General features: G+C 45.8%; 1 protein-coding gene across 4 annotated transcripts in view, besides 3 other annotated features; it reads left to right on the plus strand.

The window, feature by feature from the left end:
- RREB1 (ras responsive element binding protein 1) overlaps positions 1-19,770 on the plus strand; it is a 144,238-nt gene that overhangs the window by 89,777 nt on the left and 34,691 nt on the right. For all 4 annotated transcript variants that reach the window (NM_001168344.2, NM_001003699.4, NM_001003700.2 and 1 more), the window contains exons 7-8: positions 13,285-13,429; positions 14,054-14,190. In NM_001168344.2, the coding sequence (NP_001161816.1) occupies positions 13,285-13,429; positions 14,054-14,190 (282 nt within the window). The remainder of the gene's footprint in view (positions 1-13,284; positions 13,430-14,053; positions 14,191-19,770) is intronic.
- Positions 3,517-3,811: an enhancer, noted in NCBI's record as "tiled region #2698; HepG2 Activating DNase matched - State 5:Enh". NCBI's record gives its function as "activates a minimal TATA promoter and a strong SV40 promoter by Sharpr-MPRA in HepG2 cells {active_cell/tissue: HepG2}" and the evidence as "EXISTENCE:reporter gene assay evidence [ECO:0000049][PMID:27701403]".
- Positions 4,576-4,725: an enhancer, noted in NCBI's record as "active region_23939". NCBI's record gives its function as "activates an Ori minimal core promoter by ATAC-STARR-seq in GM12878 lymphoblastoid cells {active_cell/tissue: GM12878}" and the evidence as "EXISTENCE:reporter gene assay evidence [ECO:0000049][PMID:35858748]".
- Positions 4,776-4,825: an enhancer, noted in NCBI's record as "active region_23940". NCBI's record gives its function as "activates an Ori minimal core promoter by ATAC-STARR-seq in GM12878 lymphoblastoid cells {active_cell/tissue: GM12878}" and the evidence as "EXISTENCE:reporter gene assay evidence [ECO:0000049][PMID:35858748]".

Below are 19,770 nucleotides of genomic sequence, written 5' to 3' on the forward strand. Positions count from 1 at the left end.
ACTAAAAAAACAAAAATTAGCCAGATTACCCATAATCCCAGCTACTCAGGAAGTTGAGTTCACTTGAACTCATGAGGCGGAGGCTGCAGTGAGCTGAGATCACGCCGCTGCACTCCAGCCTGGGCAACAAAGCAAGACTTTGCCTCAAAAAGAAGGGTGAAGATGAAGAAGGGAAATCCTTGGAACATCATCTAGTTGTTTCGTTGCAGGCTTTTTTCCTGCAGCCATAGGCACGATTTTTTCTGTTGCCAAGTATGGGAGACATAGGCCCTGAGGATGCCCCTGGACATCAGGATAGGCTTCAGGAAGAGGCTTATATGTTCCTATTATGCTTGAAGAAAATATTAGCTGCGCAGAAATGTGACCTGCTCCATGACAAATGAGACCACGAAGGCTCTGAATTTAGCATGCTACTCTAAGATGCTTAGGCTAAGCCAGCCCTTGGCGCACAACTGCAGTTGGGTATCTGGAACAGGTGGCCAGTATTAAATGAGACAAGGAGCAGAGGTAGCACAGTGTCTCTGAAAGCAGGGGACAGTCACTTCTTTACCCTCAGTTCCCCGCAAGAGGAAGGGTCCTGTGAACTTCCATCATGGTCGTATCAAGTTTCTGAGGACACCCTGTATGTAGCTCGTTCTGGCGCTTGCTGCTTCTGAAGGGTGGAGGTGACCACTCAAAGGTTCAGTCAGTCCCATCTTAAAATTAATGTCATAATCACCAGGTCCCTGTCCCTCTTGACATATTCTTCTGCAGGAAGGAAAGTATCAGGACAGTTCACATGGGAATAAATTATATATTTATTTGTAGGATAAAAATCTGTGGGTCACCCTGCCCCGGACTGTGTGAATGTTTTGTTTCCCTTGAAATACTTCTATGGAAAAGAAAATCTTAAAAGCATTTCAGTTGTCTACATCCAAGGGGGAAGGACAAATCAAAAGCAAATGTCCTTCAGGGATGCTCAGAGATCTTAACACATTTAACTCCACTTAGAAGGACATAAATGTTCTGTGCAAAGACTGTTGAGGGGTTCGTGTAAATGTGATTTTAATGGGATATACGTAGTCAGCATAGTTGTATGAACTGTATATATCTCCTTATATATGTTGGGCGTTTAGTGAATATTTGGTACTGTAGTTTCATTATGATAATACTTGGGTATCAAAGCAGTTTTCAGCATATGTTAGTACTCTGAACACTAAAATAGACATACTTCTGGTATAATTTAGAAAGCTTTTCTTTAAGAAGGGCTGAAACTTCTCTTTTCAACCAGATTAAAAAAAAATATGTAAGTGTAATATCCCATTCCATGATCATTCCACTTAATATGCTTTTCACTCTTGAGAGTGCACCTTGGTAAGAGGCCCATAATCTTCCCTCCAGAGTGGAGATTTTCCACTAGATAAGACATGGAGAAAAAGAGCGGATATTTACAAATCTGTTTATTGCAGCAGAATGTCTGGGCTACCAGTTCCCCCCAGTAGCATTATTAAGCTTTCACCACATAAGCTTATTGATTGATTAAACAAATTTAGCCTTTCTTTACATCTCGTTGGCTGGATTTGAAACCTGGGTGCTTTTGTTTTTACTTCAGTAGTGGTTTAAAGAAGGGCGACATTTTCTTTGGTGCTTCTGAGTCCTCTGATAGCTCCGCCTAACTTTTCTGGCCAGGGCTGATAAAGGATACTCCCTGGAATGGTCAAGAGCCTCAATTTCTTCATCTTTAGTGGGGGTAACGTTTACTCACAAAATCCGTTAGAAGGATTAAATGCTGTAACATATACTCAAGCCTCTGGCTCACGTTAGGTGCTCAACAAATTGTAGTTCAAGGCCTTCCTTTCTCCTCTCCCTTAAGATATTTAACCCAGCAGTTCCTTATACATACTAGTTCAGCAGATGGATTTACTAAAGTGAGAAAATAGACTCCCAGCTTCTTAACAATTGGGGCAACGTAGACTGCATTCTAAGAACCCAAGAACCTGGTAACAGTGCTGTGTATCATGTGCTGAATTTCCATGGCCAAGTTGTGCAAATCCTTATTATTTGAACACTTGCCTTTTTTTCTTCTTTTTTGATTGCTTGTTCTATGATGTTTACATATATATGTGTGTGTGCTTGGGTTTTGTGTGTGTGTGTGATTTTTTTGTTTTGTTTTGTTTTGTTTTGAGACGGGGTCTCACTCTGTCTCCCAGGGTGGAGTGCAGTGGTGCCATCATAGCTCACTGCAACCTCAACCTCCCAGGCTCAAGCGATCCTCCCACCTTACCCTCCCGAGTAGCTGGGACTACAGGCACACTCCACCATGCCTGGCCTATTTTTATACTTTCTTAGTGTGGATTTGCATTAATACTATTAGATGAGATTCTGTGGTTCTTTCCAGAATTTTTACTTTGCATTTTAGAAATCTGTGAATAATCGAAAGCTGCCACTATCCTCTGAGAAAAAGGGTAGGCAAGTGTGATCTGTCACTGAATTTTATTCTTCAAATTAGATAAAAAGTGTAAGAAAATTATCAAAGCTAAAAGTTGGCCAATTTTAATTGACAGTCTCTTGTGTAGCCTGTTTTTTATTTGCTAGACTTGACCTTCCTCAAAACATTTTTCCCTTTTACTTTGTGTTTTTTTCTTTTCTAATACCCTTTAACAATCAGCACAGCTTATTTTATATATATGTGTGTGTGTATATATGTATGTATGTGTGTGTATATATATATATGTATGTGTGTATATGTGTGTGTGTGTGTGTGTGTGTGTGTGTGTGTGTGTATTTTTTTTTTTTTCTTTTTTGAGATGAGGTTTCACTCTTGTCGCCCAGGCTGGAGCGCAATGGCACAATCTCTGCCTCCTGGGTTCAAGCAATTCTCCTGCTTCAGCCTCCCGAGTAGCTGGGATAACAGGCATGCGCCACCATACCCAGCTAATTTTGTATTTTTAGTAGAGATGGGGTTTCACCATGTTGGCCAGGCGGGTCTCAAACTCCTGACCTCAGGTGATCCGACCACCTCAGCCTCCCAAAGTGCTGGGATTACAGGCGTGAGCCACCATGCCTGGCCTATTTTATATTTTTGAAGAAATATTTGAAAAACCTCTTGTGGCCGATGCTTACTTTTGATTTAGAATTTCTCTCTGAATTGAATTGACCAAGTTCATGTTCAGTTATGCCAAAGAGCATAACAATCATAAAACTGTCCAAGTGGACACTGTCCCCTCAGTGGACATGTTAAGCAACAATCAAGCCTTTTTCGTCCTATCACTGGTTCTCAAATTTATGATCTGGTTCATAATTAGTTTTTTATCATTTGGCCAACTGGATGCTAATATTTATAACTTAAGTTTTCTTCTGTTTTAGCAGAGTTGTTGTCAGTTTGTGTTTTGGAAAGGAAATGCAAAATAAATTTTATCTTTAATGCAAGCAGTACAGTATTTTTGACATATCTTGTTGAGGTATTTCAGCAGCTCAGTCTTACCGGGTAAAACTGGTGGATGGCAGCAGAATCTGGAACATCGTGCTTGCCCACACTTGAACAGCAGGCAGTGGTGAGAGTGAGAAATTAGGTTAGGGAAGGTTAGGGATGGGCTTGCTGGGGGTAGGATGACTAGCAGAGAGCTGGCCTCTGCTCCGGAATGCAACATGCCCAGGTGTCCTCTCCCACCATGCCCCTCGTCTGATGCACTGAGAACTTTGAACAGGTCCTGAGTGTGTGTCCGGTTTAGTTTCATAACTCGAAAGTAGCAAAGTCAAGAGGGAGCCTGACTTCCAGCATTAGATCACAAAATGAAACCTGCAGGGAGCTGGCAGCATTTCCACCGTAGCACTTCACAGGGCTTTATACCTTACATTTTTCCGCCTTTGTTTAAATATCCAACCTGTCCGACCTGTTCGGGCTGAACAAGCTGGTGCTAGCAAACACTGAAGCGTGCCCACTCACTGTCAACCTTTTTCTGATGTGTTAAGGAAGGTGATTAGTGGCAACATTGTCCCCCCCCCCCAACCCCCATCCCACCCTCCCCACTGAAACATGAACAGGAAGCACTGAAGTCTTAGCCTGTGTATTCATGACACGGATCCTCATCTCACCTTTGGCATGTCTGTGTGCCTGTGGGCCATCCTCAGCTTCTCTTGGGGCTCTGGGATGCTTAGTGGAAAGGTTGTTGGCCTTCAGTGGAGACAGATTTTGTATTTCCTTAAACCGGAGATTCAGTTGCATAATGGGTTCATTGGTCCTGTGGTGTCAGCACTTAATTCTTCCTTTTCATGCTTATATAACCCAGCTTGCTCAAGAGGACTGCTGTTCCAAGTTTATGGGTGGGAAAACTGAGGTCTGCCATGCTGCAGGTTCTTCTGGGGCCCTCCTCTCCAGTTTCTGTTGGTAGATGGTGTACTGTTCCTCCCTCGACATCTCTGGAGAACAGAGGCCATGTGTGCACCATGTCCATCCGTTTTAGATAAAAGTGGCTATAGACGGCCTTGGTCATACAGAAGGGCTCTGTCGCCTGGTTGGTCTTGGGAGGTGACATTTCTCTTTGGATTCATTTATATTCATTCTCTCTCCAATCTTGGTTCCCCTTTCCTTGCCAGCAGTTTCTCAGTGGCCCGTAAGTAATATAACACAACATCCCCAGAGTGGGTGGCTTTCCTTTTTCACTACGCTGCTTCTTGCACTCGCCCACGGCACCTTCCACTTCCCTTGTGGGCGCATGGCCGACCATCTGGGATGGCCCCACCCGTGCATTTCTTGTTCCTCTTTTGGAACTGGCTGAGGAGTAGCAGTGACTTAGCACTGCCCTATCATGAAGATAGTCATCTCTTCCTCCTGCACAGAAAGTGAGTAAGTAACTAGGTCCTGCCTTCTTGAAGACACCTCAAGTGATCGCCTTTCAAGCTGAAGTGGGAAATGGCCCGTGACTTCAGCACTTCCCTCCTCCTACAGAGCTTAGGTGTGGGGATTGGGGTGTATGATTTTAGTCGTTGCCCTGGGAAGCTGGTCTCTGGTGGCCGGCGATGGCTTCCCTCAGAGGGGACAGCTCTGGGCTCTTGAGATCACTTTGGGAATGATGACTTCAGTTGGGGCACCATCACCTCAGACTGTAATATGGGGATATTCAGCATCCCTGCTGGGAGAGGCCAGCCATGAGTGTGGGGATTTGGACCCCAGGCTGCATGTAAATGTTGAGGAAACTGAGGGAGGTTAGCCTGGGGAAGAAGAAGAGGCCATGGCAACACAGCAGCTGCCCTGAGGTATCTAAGGCCTGTCCGTGGGAAATGAGAGCCTTCCACTGATGTCTCTGGACTCACCCAGGAAGGTCCTAGCTGGCCGATTATAGCTCTATGTTAATGAGAGTTCTCTTTGGGTGAGAGGAACATCAATTCATCCAACTTCTGAGGTCTTTTGTTTGTTTTTAAGAATGTCTGACTTTGTATGGACATATTACTATGTATTTTTGTGGATTTTGTAAATAGATATGGGGACCAAATAACATGAAAATTTATTTTAGCAAAACACAAGCAGGCAAGGGAAAAAGACAAGCACAGGAGGATGTAGGGTGTTACTGATTCAAGGGTAGGGCAGTTAGGAATCATGTCTAGAGTAAAAGATTTTTAAAAGGTTAGTGCTGGTTCATGTGGACTGCCAACACCTCTCTACCCCCTACTGGATCTGAAAGTCAGGAGAGGAGGAAGGAGCTGTAGAAGCAGCAGAGAAGGGCCCTCAGTTTTCTAAGTAGACAGTCATTAGCAAGAGAATGTCATCCCTCAACCCTTGGCCCAGGAGTTTGAGGCTGCACTGAGCTAGGATTGCACCACTGCACTCTAGCCTGGGTGGTGCAGCAAGATTCTATTTCCAAAAAGAAAAGAATACATATCCTTCAGGCATTATAATTCTAGCTCAATGCATCATTAAGGAAGTATCTGTACCAAGAATGCAGAAGGGTCTTTACCCAGGACCAAGATAGAAAAGGAACTGCTCTCTCCAAATACTGCCAAGGAACCTGAGGTAGGAGAGCAGAGATGGTGGTCCAGCCTGGAGAACCATGACCCCATGCCTGGGTTTGGAGAGAAGCTCTGGGCTGATGAGCCGTGGAGATTGAGAGTCCACCAAAGCGTTTGCTTATAAGGAACATGAAAATGAACCCCTGGTACTCCTGGACTTCAAATTAAGATTCCTTAACTTCTGATAAAATTTAACTATCCTTATACTGGCTCCCTTGGAATACCATGCTACAGTCAACAGATGAGAGACGTTCTCTATTCTGGGGACGTATTGCCCTAGTATTGCAGGGAAAGTGGGGGCTTGTAGAAGACATCCATGCTGTGGAGCATGTGGTCTTTATAGACACCTCCCAGAATGGAGGCAGTAGGAATAAACGTCAGTATCAGCCGCAAAGCTTGACTTTGTCATGGCCTCTGTGGGCCATATTGCCCACATCAGAGACTGTGGGATCTAACTGGCCAGTGGTGGTGGCTGCAGTGTCCGGTGCATTTCACCAGGAGCATCCTGCGAGCCCTGGGAGCTGCCTGGCTGACGGCATTCCCACAGCGAGCCTACAGACTGTGGGTTTACACTTCATGCCAGGCTGACTTTAGATTTTTCTAAGGGCTGGCTTTGGAGGTCAGCACAGGTGCTTACGCATTGTCTAACCTTCCTCCACACCCTGGGAGAGCTGGTGTGACCTGCCTTCCGGACAAGCATGACTGAACCCATACAACACCTGAATTACTAGAAGGTGCCTCTGTACTTTACAGGTGGGGCCACACCAGGAATTGCTCAGTTGCCGCCTTGCTGTCCTCCCCCCGCCCCCTCCCTCTCTGTGTCTGCTCTCCATCCCCCATTTGTTTGCATAGAACTTGATTGGCATTACAAGCATCATCCACAGCCCTCCACACTGAACTCCTAGGCATTTGTTAGGAAAACATACACACATCTTTCTAGAATCATACTTTGGCCAGAAATGTAGGTTGTGCAGCTGTGGGGGTTCTTAATCTTATTCGTTCCCTCTTTGTTTATCACAAAGCTTTGTTGGACAAAAAAAAGCGAGCACCAGGTACGGATGGGGATGTCTCTATAACCAGGCTGCTAGACCCTGTTTGAACCTGTTGCCTCCAGCTTGGCAGGTCCTGGGCCGTGCTGTGTGTGCTTTGTATACAGTGTCCTGTGTCCTGACGGAGTGACTTTCCTTACGGTACCATTCACTCAGAGTATCAAAGAAGTTGGCTCCTTCATTAACAGTCCTAGGAGGAAATTGAGACTGAAAAGTTAGCAAATACTGGAAGTGTCTAGATTTCTCCTGAGGTTTAACCTTCACATGCAAATTACATACGGGGAGCTTGAAGAATGTCTGAGACCTGCTCTGAGGGCAGCTATGACTAAGTAATCTTTGGTTTGGATCACATTTAAACTTGTTGAGAGTTTCCCAAAGGATTTTGCCCCCAAAAGAATTTTAAGAATGTTAAATTTCCCAACTTTTTGGTTAAGCATTTATGCCTGGTAAACTGATGGAGAGACTGCTGGTATATTGGAAGATGAGTCTGGGAGATGTTTAATGCTGGTATCCAAAAAATGTCAGTGTCCTGGTCAAATGGTTGACCGAACCTGCAAACGGTGCAGAGAGCTGGAGAAGTTCACTGTGATCCCATGGTTCTCACACTTAAGCAGGCTTCAGTATCACCTGCAGGGCTTGTGCAAGCCAGACTGCTGGGCCCCGACCCAGCGCTACCAGTCTGCAGGCCTGGGATGGGACTCGGGGGTTTTTATTTGCATGAAGCTCCCAGGTGGTGCCCATGCTGCTGGTCAGAAGCCTACAGAGTGAACACTGGTGTTCTAGGAGACTGACAGGATTGTCCCCATTTTACCAGTGTGGAAACTGAAGCTGAGGTAGCCCAAGATTCTCTGGAGTCTCCGTAATTACTAGGTGGCAGAACAGAGATCACACGTCTCAAATGTGTCACTGCTCAGAGACCACCCAAAAGCTTCATTGCATCACATGGTCTCTGTCTACACCATCTTTCCACCCAGATTCCTGATTGCTGCTCAGAGCAAGCCAGTGCTTGGATAGCTAAGAGCTTTACCCCATTCCCAAATCTAATGACTTCCATGCCTAAGGAAGGTCCGCAGAAAGTTCCTGTATTTGGAACTGGAAAGGAGAACATTCAGGGAGGCAGGGAGGGAGGGTCAGCTTTTAGGGATTGGTCTGTCTCCCTGGAGTTATTGACCAGCCTTCAGCCCTTGCACAGGGTGTACTCTTTGGTTTAACTCTGATGTTTTCAATATTCTTACAGACAACCTACCCTGCTAAAATGGACCATCTCAAATTTTAGAAAGCAAATGATTACACTTGTGGGAGAAAAGCCATTTAAGTTGAAAATCAGCATCTACTCCTAGATTCAAAGTAGGCTCCAGTTGTGCCAAAAAGTGCTCAGATTTGGGGGTTTTTTCCACGTTTAAAAAACATCTGCTATATTTGTGTTCGTTCATCACTGTAAAAGCCTCTTTGGGTGTTATGAATAGGATAAAACTTCTCTTGACTCCAAAAGTTCTGATAAAATTCCTTCCTAAGACCACAGTGCGGTAGGATTCCTACTGTTAAAGTGTCATGCTTCCAAAAGAAAATTACAGAATTTTATGGAAAGGCAGAACTCTACTTGGATTTTATATTAACCTCTCTCTACAATGAGTGTAGGTATTGTTTTGAATGAACAAACATATGAATTCCAATACGAAAACATTAACACATGTCCTCAGTGTTCATTGTTGGAGTGTTTTCGATTGAAGTCCCTTCAGTGTGGCACTGTTCATAATCTCGTGTCATGTTTGCTCACACCAAATTCTAGCAAGGCAAGTTATAAGATGTCCTGGAACCTGAGCGTGTATGTCATAGTAATACTCTGAGTGAAGCAAACATTTTCTACATATACTTCATTCCTTCCTTCCTTCATTTGTCCATTCAGGAATTCAACAAATATTTATTTGTTTGTTCTTCCATCCAGCAATTTAGCAGATACTTACTGACCAACACCTATGTGCCACCAGGGCTCGTGCAGAGAACAACATAGACCAGGTTCTTGCTGTAATGGAACTTACTTTCAACTGAGGGTGAGGGGACAGTCAGACGAGTAAAATACATGATATCTTCAGCTACTGCTGTGTGCTGTGGAGGAAGGAACACTGAATTGTGGGTGTAAGAGCATCTGCACAAGTAGGGTGTGGGGCCTCAGGGAAGGCTTTGCAGGTGAGGCGCGTGGCACGAAACCTGGACGGCAGGAGCCAGGCTTGGGAAGGTCTGGGGTGCAGTTTTCCAGGCAGGAGCAGCAAGCATCTTGAGTCCCAGAGGCGGGAACTAGTTGGATGCATTTGAGGGACCCACAGGGGCTAGTCTGTCTGAAAGAGCTTTGGGATGGAAGAGGGCAGGGTGCTCCACTATTGAAGTCTAGCAGATAGGTGGAAGCCAGATTTATTTTAATTCTAAGAATGGGACTGTCAGAGGAATTTAAGCAGGGGAGTGGTATGATTGGTCCTGTGTTTTAGATGCTCAGTCTGGCTGCTGGATAGAAAATGGAAAATAAGAGAGCAAGAGGAAGAGCAGAGGGGCCAGCTTAAGATACTAAGACCAGCTGGTAGGAATTCCTGCCATTGCTAGTGTTTGTGCAATGTATCCATTGAAACATGAATCCTTATATATGGATCTTTGCACATTTGTTCAGTTATTAGACCTTAAGACAGATTTCTAGGAGTAGAATTACTGAGGCAAAGAGCATACATATTTAAAATTCATATCTCTAGTGCTCAGCCACTTTGCAGAAAGGCAGTCACTCATTTCTACTCTCACCAACGATGGGAGAGTACCAGTCTTCTGAACCACACCAACACCGCATATTGTTAATGTAAGACTTTCTCACCCTCGCCAGTCTGGAAGGTGAAAAGATGCACTGCTCAGGTGCAGAATGGAGGAGATGTGGTTTGATAGCAGTAAATGAAGGAATCGTGGGGATTGTGATTGACAACAAACTTGGTAGGAACTGAGGGTATAAACACACCCAATGGAACCCACCCAGGCTCCCTTTATGTACCTTCTGGAGGTCATAGTGCCAGCCATGTGCCCTGAGCTGTCAGATCACATCCAGACTGGAGTTTGCATCTGGATCCAGCATTTCATGAAGGATACCTGTACGCTGGAGAGCATTCCAAGGTTACTTAGGACCAGTATAATTCCACAGACTTGCAAGCAGAGCTTGAGGGGGGCTGTTCACTTTTGAAAAGAGAACGCATTACAGAAACGCAGTAGTCCTCTTACACTATTTGAAGAGCTGCCACGCAGATGAGAACATGGACTGATGTTATAACACAGCATCTCCCTTGAGGACAGATAGACAGAATTTCTGACTCAATGTGAGGGAGATGGTTTTAACAATTAGAACAGCCAGTGAAAATGGAGAAGTCCTTGTTGGTGGAAGTGTCCAAGCAGAACTAAATGGTGATGCCTCCAGTCTGCTGTGGAGAGGGACTTTCTATGCAGAGTAGAGGGCTGAATCCCATCCCAGCTCCCTTCCAGTTCATGGGCTCCTTGTCATTTATTGACTCTCAGGATGCGTGGAAATTAGACAAATTAGCCCTTGAAATCAACCCTGAGAGAAAGACAAGACCCAAGCCTTCTAAGGATTGGAATACTCTCTTTCCCACCACCCCTAATTTGTTTTGGCCACAGCTTGAGGGAAGGGGTCATTAGTGTCTCATCATGATGATCCTGGCTGCACTTCCTGTGAGCTTTTGGGAGGAAATGAACAGCTCCAGTTGCCACTCCTGTTGTTGGAGGCTAGGGAAGCAGAGCAGGGGTCAGAGCAGTGGGGAGAATCTCTCACTACATCAAATCCATCGTCAGACCTGGCCGGACCCCTCCAACCCTGCAGTTCACCCGTGGGCTGAATTGAGGTTGTCAGTGCAGCTTTTGCTCATCAAGCGGCTGGAAGGACAAAGCAGGAACTTCCCATGTTGTACCCGGTAGCTGGGGATTTCACCCTGAAATGGAGCGGTGCTTGTGCTTTTGCACCTGGGGCTCCGGGGCTCAGTGGGAGAACTGGAGTGAGCCGCTGTCTGTCAGACTGCCTTGGCCTGCTTTGGTCACTCTGCCACTTCTAGGAGTGATGCAGTTCAAGGGCAGCCCTGGTTTTCCAGACTAAGCCAGAGGCTCTGCAGTCCTTGAGCAAAACTGGAGGTGGGAATGTTCTATGCCTGAGCTGTGGGCTCCTCACCCTCTTCACTTTGGTAGTAACTGTGCCACCTTGGGCCACAGTCCACCAGAGAGGAAGTGTCCAGGTTCAGGTTATATCCTTAAGATTCCAGCTGGTGATCCAGAACAGAGTTAACTGACTGGCGTGGTCTTGGGAGATAGGCTGGGTTTGGGGGAAGAGCATGAGCTCAGAGTTGGTGCACATAGGTCGGCTCAAGCTCTGAGGCTATGGGCAGGTTGGCCTCCCTGCACCTCAGCTGCCACATCTGCAAAATGGAAATAATGATCTGTCTAAGGTTCCTACTAGGCCCTCAACTAAGTGTTGGCCCCAGTCCCTCCTTTATGAAAACAGCTTCTTTCATAAATCCCAAGAACAAAATAATTACCATTTTGTATTTCTATAAATATTGTGTCATATGATTCAAAAGATATAGCTTGAAATGGGCTCATGAACTGTTTACAGTTGTCAACCTCTAATTTTTAATATTCTCATATCAACTGTAGAAAAGGGCGTGGATTTTGTTAATTAAAATTAATTTTGAGTAATTTATTGAAAGGGCAGGTTTGATGCTAGTTTACATCTCTTATACTTTCTCAACTCTTAGATGCTTTCTTTAAAATGAGCATTTCTAAAATTGGAGTGTGAAAAACTTGCCAGCCTTTCTTTTTTGCTCCTAATGCTGATATTGAGGGATGGTGTCCTCAAATCATAATCACTTTGGAATAGAGGTGCTTAGAACAAAGCTACTTGTTCCCATTAACTTTCACAAGGCTTTAGGAGGCCAAGAACTAAATAATGGTTGTCTGTGATTCTTAATTATTATTCTATTTCTTTCCTTTTTTTTTTTTTTTTTTTGAGACCGGTTCTCAGTCTGTCTCCCAGGCTAGAGTGAAATGACATGGTCATAGCTGACTGCAGCCATGACCTCTTGAGAGCCAATACCGTGCCACTGCACTCCAGCCTGGGCGACAGAGCAAGACTCCATCTCAACAACAAAAAAGGAGAGTACAGCTAAAAAGAGAGCAGAACTTCTTTTCAGAAGGTTGACAGGATAGCTCATGAAAATTTTGCTGTCTTTCCCTACTCCTGAGAATTTCTCAAGCAAGATAATCCTATAGAATAGTTATTCATAAAAAGCTGTGGCTATGGTCCTAAATCTGGCACAGTTCAACCACGGCTACGTGATGAGGGTGATGATGATTGTCATTGGCAAAACTAAATCATTTTTATGTTGCAAAATTAGGAAATTAAAACTCACTATTCATTTGTAATGTCATTCGTTTCCTGTATATCTTGGGACCTTGTTCTTAGAATGTTTGTTTTAGAACTCAATAAAGTAAGGTCACTTAAGTTGAATAACCCATAAGACTCTCTTTTTGGAGTAGACATGCACATATTTTATGTAATACTTAACTATATGGGTAGCCTAGTCCTGTAGATATTAGAGTTACCACATGTAACTTTTTCATTCCACTGTCCGAGTTAACTCTTGTGATCTATAAATCCACATAATACTACGAACAACAGGGAACTGCTTTCAGGTCTTAAGCACTCTGGACATTTGCTCTGTTAGCATGTCTCAAATTTGACCACCAAAATGCTTCCAAAGCAGAAAAGAGAGATGTGTACAACAGATAGATGGGCAGTGGGTTCTTGGGGCAAGGATAGCATTATCACTTAGTTTATGAACTAGTGGAACAGTTTAGGTATCTGGGAATTCTTTATTCTATAGAATTCCATGTCCTAAAATGGTACTTTTTGTCTGCATGAGTGGAACAGGTCACCAGATAGTTTGTTTCATCTTGTTAATGTCAGTTAAGTTCATGAATGTCTTCCAGTGAACAGCAAGACATTAAGCAACGCTTTTGGACAGCACTTGTAAGAGCTTTAAGAGAGGTTCAAGGAGATTATAGAGTTTTAAAAAGATAGAAGTCACTGTATAAATTATACCTCATATCTCTTAACTAAAGAAAATTTAAGTACCAGTGCCTAAATATAAAATATTAAAAACATAAATGAACTGACTTCTTTGTTAGATCACATTGTGTGTGTGTTTGTTCTTTTCAGACATATGAAGATCCATGAGAAGGACCCTAACAGTGCCACAGCCACAGCCCCTCCATCTCCTCTGAAACGTAGGCGATTGTCCTCCAAGAGGAAACTGAGTCACGATGCCGAGTCAGAGAGAGAAGACCCAGCACCAGCTAAAAAGGTCCTCTTGGCTCCCAGTGCAGATTCACCTGCTCAGGGGACTTCTGTCAGAAATACCACTAATCTTTATTTTCTCAGTGTGGAGACTTGGCAGACATACATCCTAAGCTCTTAACGTGTGTTTTCCCATACTGTTTCTGTAAAGTGTCTAAGAAAAGAGTACCAGTGTGCACTTCCTCTTGAGCCCCTCTGCTGAGCCCAGAGATGAAATGAAGAGCTTTTACAATTGTTTCCATGCTTTCTACCTGTTTTTTCTAGCTAAAGCGCAAGCTTCATAAGCATTCGGGACTCTTTTGTCCTCACTTTTTTATTACCAGTGCCTGGCAGATACCCGGTGCTGCAAAAGTACTTGTCAGGTGGGTGGGAGGGTGGGTGGATGGATGGATGGACAGATGGATGGATGGATGGATGGATGGATGGATGGATGGATGGATGGATGGATGGTAGCGTTCTGGGAGTATTTGTTGTGTGAATGAATGAATGGTCAGGTCCTTAATAATCAGGATTGGATAATGCAACCCTTGCCTTTTATTATTGTAAATCTCTGAATTTAGCATTGGCCTCTCTTCCGAAGCCATCCCATGTGGGAGACCTTCATGACTTCACTTTTTTCCTTTTCCCTCAGATGGTAGAAGACGGGCAGTCAGGTGACTTGGAGAAGAAAGCTGATGAAGTCTTTCACTGCCCAGTATGTTTCAAGGAGTTTGTTTGCAAGTATGGACTGGAGACCCACATGGAGACCCATTCAGATAACCCACTAAGGTAGGAGAAAGAGTGAACTAGACCTTGTTCATTCCTGTTTCTCCTGGCATGTGACAATGTTCTTAAGTCCCGTTACTCCACACCGGGCTCCAGTGATTGAACTTGGGCACAACAACATTAGGGAGGCAGTTAAGAAAGTATCGGTGTGGGGAAAAAGTTGGCTGAGAGTTGTCAGAGGGTGGCTGTATCCACAGGGTGTTCACATGGTTCACTGTGCCTTCTTTCTCTCAGCAAAGCCCCTTGAGTAGTCACCAGTGAGCCCCTGAACACTGGGGAGTCTGCTATCATGGGTGTTCTTGGACAACAGATAGATTTTCTTCGCAAAAGATGTTGCAACTCAAATGACTATTAGCAATGCATGAATATGTGGCCCAAACAGGGACAGCCCACGTGTTGGATACCCCTGGCACAGCACTGGTCCATCATAGGCACTCCGAAGTGTTTGAACTGAGCTGGACCTGATAGCACAGAAACCTGAGAAGCCATTTTGGGGTCAGAGAAAGTTCTACTTAGTGCAGGACACTTGGCCAAAAATGGAACCTGATATGTTTCAATAAAAAAGTGACAGGTGATTGCTCTGCCATCCAGCTTCAATTGTAGGGGCTTCGCAGCTCCAGTGTTTCTGATCCTCAGCCTTGCCAGGCAGAAAACACGGGTAGTGACAGGACTTCCCACAAGAATTCAGGGGACTCATCTTTCTTTCTTTACCTTCTCTGATAACTCATCAGGCAACCGTTAGTTCTGTATTCTTGATGAGTTGATAGATTTGGAAGTTATTCCTAGAGAATTGCCACTTTAAAACTGTTAACTGCCAGAGATTTTAAGCATTGGAAAGAACAAAGAACTACTTAGGAACCCCTGTTGTCGTTGAGAGACTTGAAAGTAGCCCATCCTGGAAGTCACACACAGCTGCAGGGTCACGAGCACACAGCAGGGCCATACACGCGTGCAGCTTTGGGTTTTAGAAGACAGCTTGGGAATGCAGGAATTTGGGCATCTGTTTGCCTGAATCCCTGATATATGGACCAGATTTCCTTCTTGAAGACACATGTTTAGCTGTGACTTAGGAATGGGAAAGTCTGAGCAAGCTGAAGACTTATGTTATAGGGAAAATCCAAATTGTACAGTAACTTGATGCCAGGTCAAATATGATTATCCTTAATCACATTAGCCTGACATTTTTCCATTGGTGAGGGAAAAAGGAACTTACGAAGAATTTAAACTGCTGAACAATTGAAGTGCTATAAAATGTCTTTACGGAACTCCCCAGTCTCAAGAAATTGCCTGATCATTGGGTTGGGCACAGACTGGTTGTCAGGCCTAGACCCCACTCCTCCCTCTGCTCATACAGGACCTCAGCCAGCTACATCTGAACCTGTTTTCTCATCCTTCAAATTGAAGGAGGGCAGGACCAGATAATCCTTGTGTTCCTAAAACCTTATTTTTATTTATTTATTTATTTTTGGGTTTTTTTGAGAAAAGTTTTGCTTTGTCACCCAGGCTGGAGTACACTGGCGCAATCTTGGCTCACTGCAACCTCTGCCTCCTGGGTTCAAGTGATTCTCCTGCCTCAGCCTCCCGAGTAGCTGGGATTACAGGTGTGTACCACCACACCTGGCTAATTTTTTGTGTTTTTGGTAGAGATGGGGTTTCACCATTTTGGCCAGGCTTGTCTCAAACTCCTGACCTCTGGTGATCTGCCCCATCTTGGCCTCCTAAAGTGCTGGGATTATAGGCATGAACCACCATGCTCAGCCCCAAAGCCTGCCTCTTAACAGTTGTTTTATTCTGTCTACCAGGAAAAGGCATATGGCCCCTCCCTGTGTAGGCCCTCTAGTTCTGAGAGATTTGGGAAACTTCACAGGTTCAGGAATGTTCACAGCATCCCCAGGATGTGGGCTTGTGGTGGGTGGCAAATACTGAAATAGTTCTCTAGATCAAGGACCTGAGTGAGCAGAGATGACATTACCAGCTGAACCTCCCAAAGAGAATCATGAGCAGAGGCAGAAACAGCACAGGGGACCCCAGCTCCTGCTCACGTTCCTACCCAGCAGCCTTCAGAGCCAGTGCTGCAGTGAATACAGGCTGTCTCTGAGCCCGTCTGTATACTTCATCTCACTTCATATTTTATTCTGTGATCAGATACCACCTTAGAAACTATTATTTACCCCCTTCTAGATAATTCTGTTCTGCAGGAAAAATAATGTGGCTCCCACAAGAGATTTCTGAGCAGTCCAAGCCTGCATAGCATGGTGTGTGGCAGCGATAGAGGCAGATCAGGTGTCTCCTTCTGAAATGCTGACCTGGGTGAGGGACGAGGTTCTCCTGGAGCAATCCTCTGAACAAGGACCTGCTCCAGGGAGAGGCCAGGCTTCCTCTGCACAGAGGTTGGAGATGGGCATTGCACTGGACGCTCGTCATTTTTTTCATAGTTGGGATGGGTAGGATTTGGTGGGTGATTAATCCACAGTGATGGTAGGGCTGGTGCTGTAGACAGGCTGTGAAGTTGAACCCTCAGTCCTGCACGTCCAGCTAGCCGACCTAGAGGATTTTCCTCACCTGTTTACTAATAATGCCCTGTGTTTGGTGAGGGGTTGGCTTAACAATTTTGTAACCTGACAGGGACTTGGCCCCTCTGGGCAGGCTCTCACTTCGCTGGCCCCACAGCTGTGGCTGAGGGGTGGCCCGTAAGAAGAGAGTTGCCAGGCATCCTTTGTGGGGGCACACAGGCCACCCCTGCCCTGTGCCTCTATCTATAATTGTTGCTAGATGGGGTGGGGCTGGCATCTGGAAACCAAAAAGAGTTGATTACAGAACATGGTTAATGTCCCTTTGCTCCTCTCTGCTCTGCCGATCCCCATAATAGGCTGCTATCATAGGAGGCCTGGGGCAGCCTGCGCCAGCGGGGCCTAGCCAGGCGGTGAACTGGGACAGTAGCTAGTGGGAGAGACAGCTTGTTAACCCAGAACTAAAATAGACACCAGCTCCATTTCAAATCCCAGAGGCAGCAGAACCACAGTGGGATGCTACCCGCTTAGACTGAAGGTTTGTAACTCAAAACAGCTGTTGCCTTCTCACTCTCCTGCACTTATCCCCCTTCTCCACTCCCCACCAACACTGGCAAGGTGCCCATTGTTCCTTAATAAAAAGTGTTGGAAATCCAAACTCATATAAATCTCAACTCCATTTCCCTCCACTCCACTGTGTTTCAAATGAATGAAGTGTTGTCGTAGAACAAAAGGAAGACACAAAGCTGCCTGTAGAGATGCCAGCTCTTAGGATCAGGTGTTAGCTTCACCCTGACATGACCAATGGTCAGTCATCCCCCTTCCCCCAGGGCTCCCCAGATGAGGGAGAGAAGGCAGAGGAGGAAGCGGAGTCAGGCTATGGCGAGCTGGCGTTTGGAATCGGAGGTGAGGGACGGAGTGTTCAAGAGAGCAGGCGGCTACACAGAGGACATCCTTTGTGTGAGGATGTTGCTGGGCATTGAATGTCCATCAGAATAGAACTGAGCAACTGGCCATACCCTGCTGTGAATGAAGTCAGCTGGGAGAAGCATCCAGGTCAGCCCGGCCAGCAAGAGAATCTGGGCCACGCACGTCCTTGGAATTTTCTAGTAGCCGTTTTTTATTTCATTTCATTTCATTTTGAGGATCTCGTTCTGTCACCCAGGCTGGTGTCCAGTGACATGATTATGACTCACTGCACCTTGACCTCCCAGGCTTTTAAGTGACCCTTCCACCTCAGCCTCCCAAGTAGCTGGAACCACAGGCATGTGCCGTCACATGCAGCTAATTTTTTTGTATATTTTGCAGAGACAGAGTCTCCCTTTGTTGCCCAGGCTGGTCTTGAACTCCTGGGCTCAAGTGATCTGCCCACCTTAGCCTCCCAAAGTGCTGGGATTGTAGGCGTGAGCCACCCTGCCTGGCCCTAGTAGTCATGTTTTAAAAAGTAAAAAGAAAGAGACAAAATGAATAATGCTTCATCGAGTATACCAGTATCATCAAAATATAATGTCAACACATAATCAATAGAAAAATGGTGAGTGATGTGGTTCACATTCTTGCTTCCATGTACTGACTCTTTGAAATCTGGTGTGTGTGACGTGACCCCAGCCCGTCTTGGCTGCACCACACCAGCCACATTTCAGGTGCTTAACAGCCCACAGAGAGGTTTCAGATGAGCCACCTACGGCAGGGAGGGCTGCAGCTTTGACGCGGAGCCATGTCTTGTGTGTGAAGAAGGCCCAAGGGCGGCAGCTGGATGGTCACCCTGTTGGCACAGCCACTGCTGAGGGTGAAACTCGGCCAAAGTTATTGTGTAATCTTAGATGGCCCCCTGATGAAAGGAGTTCGGGTAATAAGTAACGTTAACATCATTTCAGTTAAAATGTACCCAGCAAATGATTGAGTTTGTACTGTGTGCCAGGCACTTGCCCAGGCTTGAAGGAAAGAGTGATGTTTGAGACAGGGTACGGGCTAGGCACAAAACAAGCTGGTTGGTTATAAAACAAAGTTCAGGGGTGAGTTCAGGGCCCAGGAGGGCACATTTCCCTCAGATTCCAGGCAGGCAGAGGGATCTGGTGGATGCAAAACTTCTCCTTGGGATTTTACATCAGAGGCTGTGGTGCTTCACTTAATTTCCTCTGGGTCAGGGCCCAACCGGGTCTGGTACTTCATTGACCCTGGTCATCTCTGAGTTCAAGGTGATGACATTAAATCTCTGTTGGGAATTGGTACATAGGGAGCCCAAGGGGGCTCTGACAGGAACCTCGGCTCCATGAGTAGTGAGGGCAGCTGAGACCACCCCCTTCCTGTATCTTAGTAGTGGGGCCACCAAAGGGAAATGCCTTCTTTTTCCTGCATTCTCCACTGTTCCAAGGAATGTTTATCTCCCTTCACCACACGCCTACCACCTACAGAGACCCCAAGACTCCTCATGTACCCGGGATTGATCCCACCCTTGTCAAATGTCATCCTAAAAACAGGGAAAAGATAAAATATTTGTCAGCATCTTCTGTTGAAGAGTCTGTGAGTCTGAGGCTTGGGCAGGCAGAAACAGATTTTAAACACTTCCGGGGGCTATGAACAGAGGTCCCTCAAGGAGGGGAAGACTGCCCCCACCCCTCACCTGACAGGTACAGAAGCCTTGGTCAGGACTACCCTGTCCCCCACCCAAGGCCCAGAGCAAGGAGTGGCCCACCCAGCTTCGGTAGCCACTACACACCCTTTGTGAAGTCCCTCAGACTCTGCCCAGTGCTTCACGCCACGCTGGTTTGGTTGAACAGTCAGAGCGGGGCATTGGGTTGCTGTGTGCAGCCTGGGCGGGTTCCTGGGTCATGGGGAGGGACGGCTGCCTGGCCAGGGCCCTGTCACAGGGCCATCACTGTTGCTCGCAGCAACTGGGAGAGATTAGTGCAGCTGTCGGATGTCAGTTCTCTGCCCCGAGATGGGCAGGGGAGGGTGGGCTGAGGAGAGAAGAATGTGTGAGTTGGTTGGGACTCTAGAGGAGAGGTTGTTTGCACTTACTCCTTCTGGCCTCTGGAGACAGAACAGGAAAAATGAAGCATGAAATCCCTTT

Source organism: Homo sapiens, chromosome 6 (assembly GCF_000001405.40).
Source record: "Homo sapiens chromosome 6, GRCh38.p14 Primary Assembly".
Classification (NCBI taxonomy): Eukaryota; Metazoa; Chordata; class Mammalia; order Primates; family Hominidae; genus Homo; species Homo sapiens.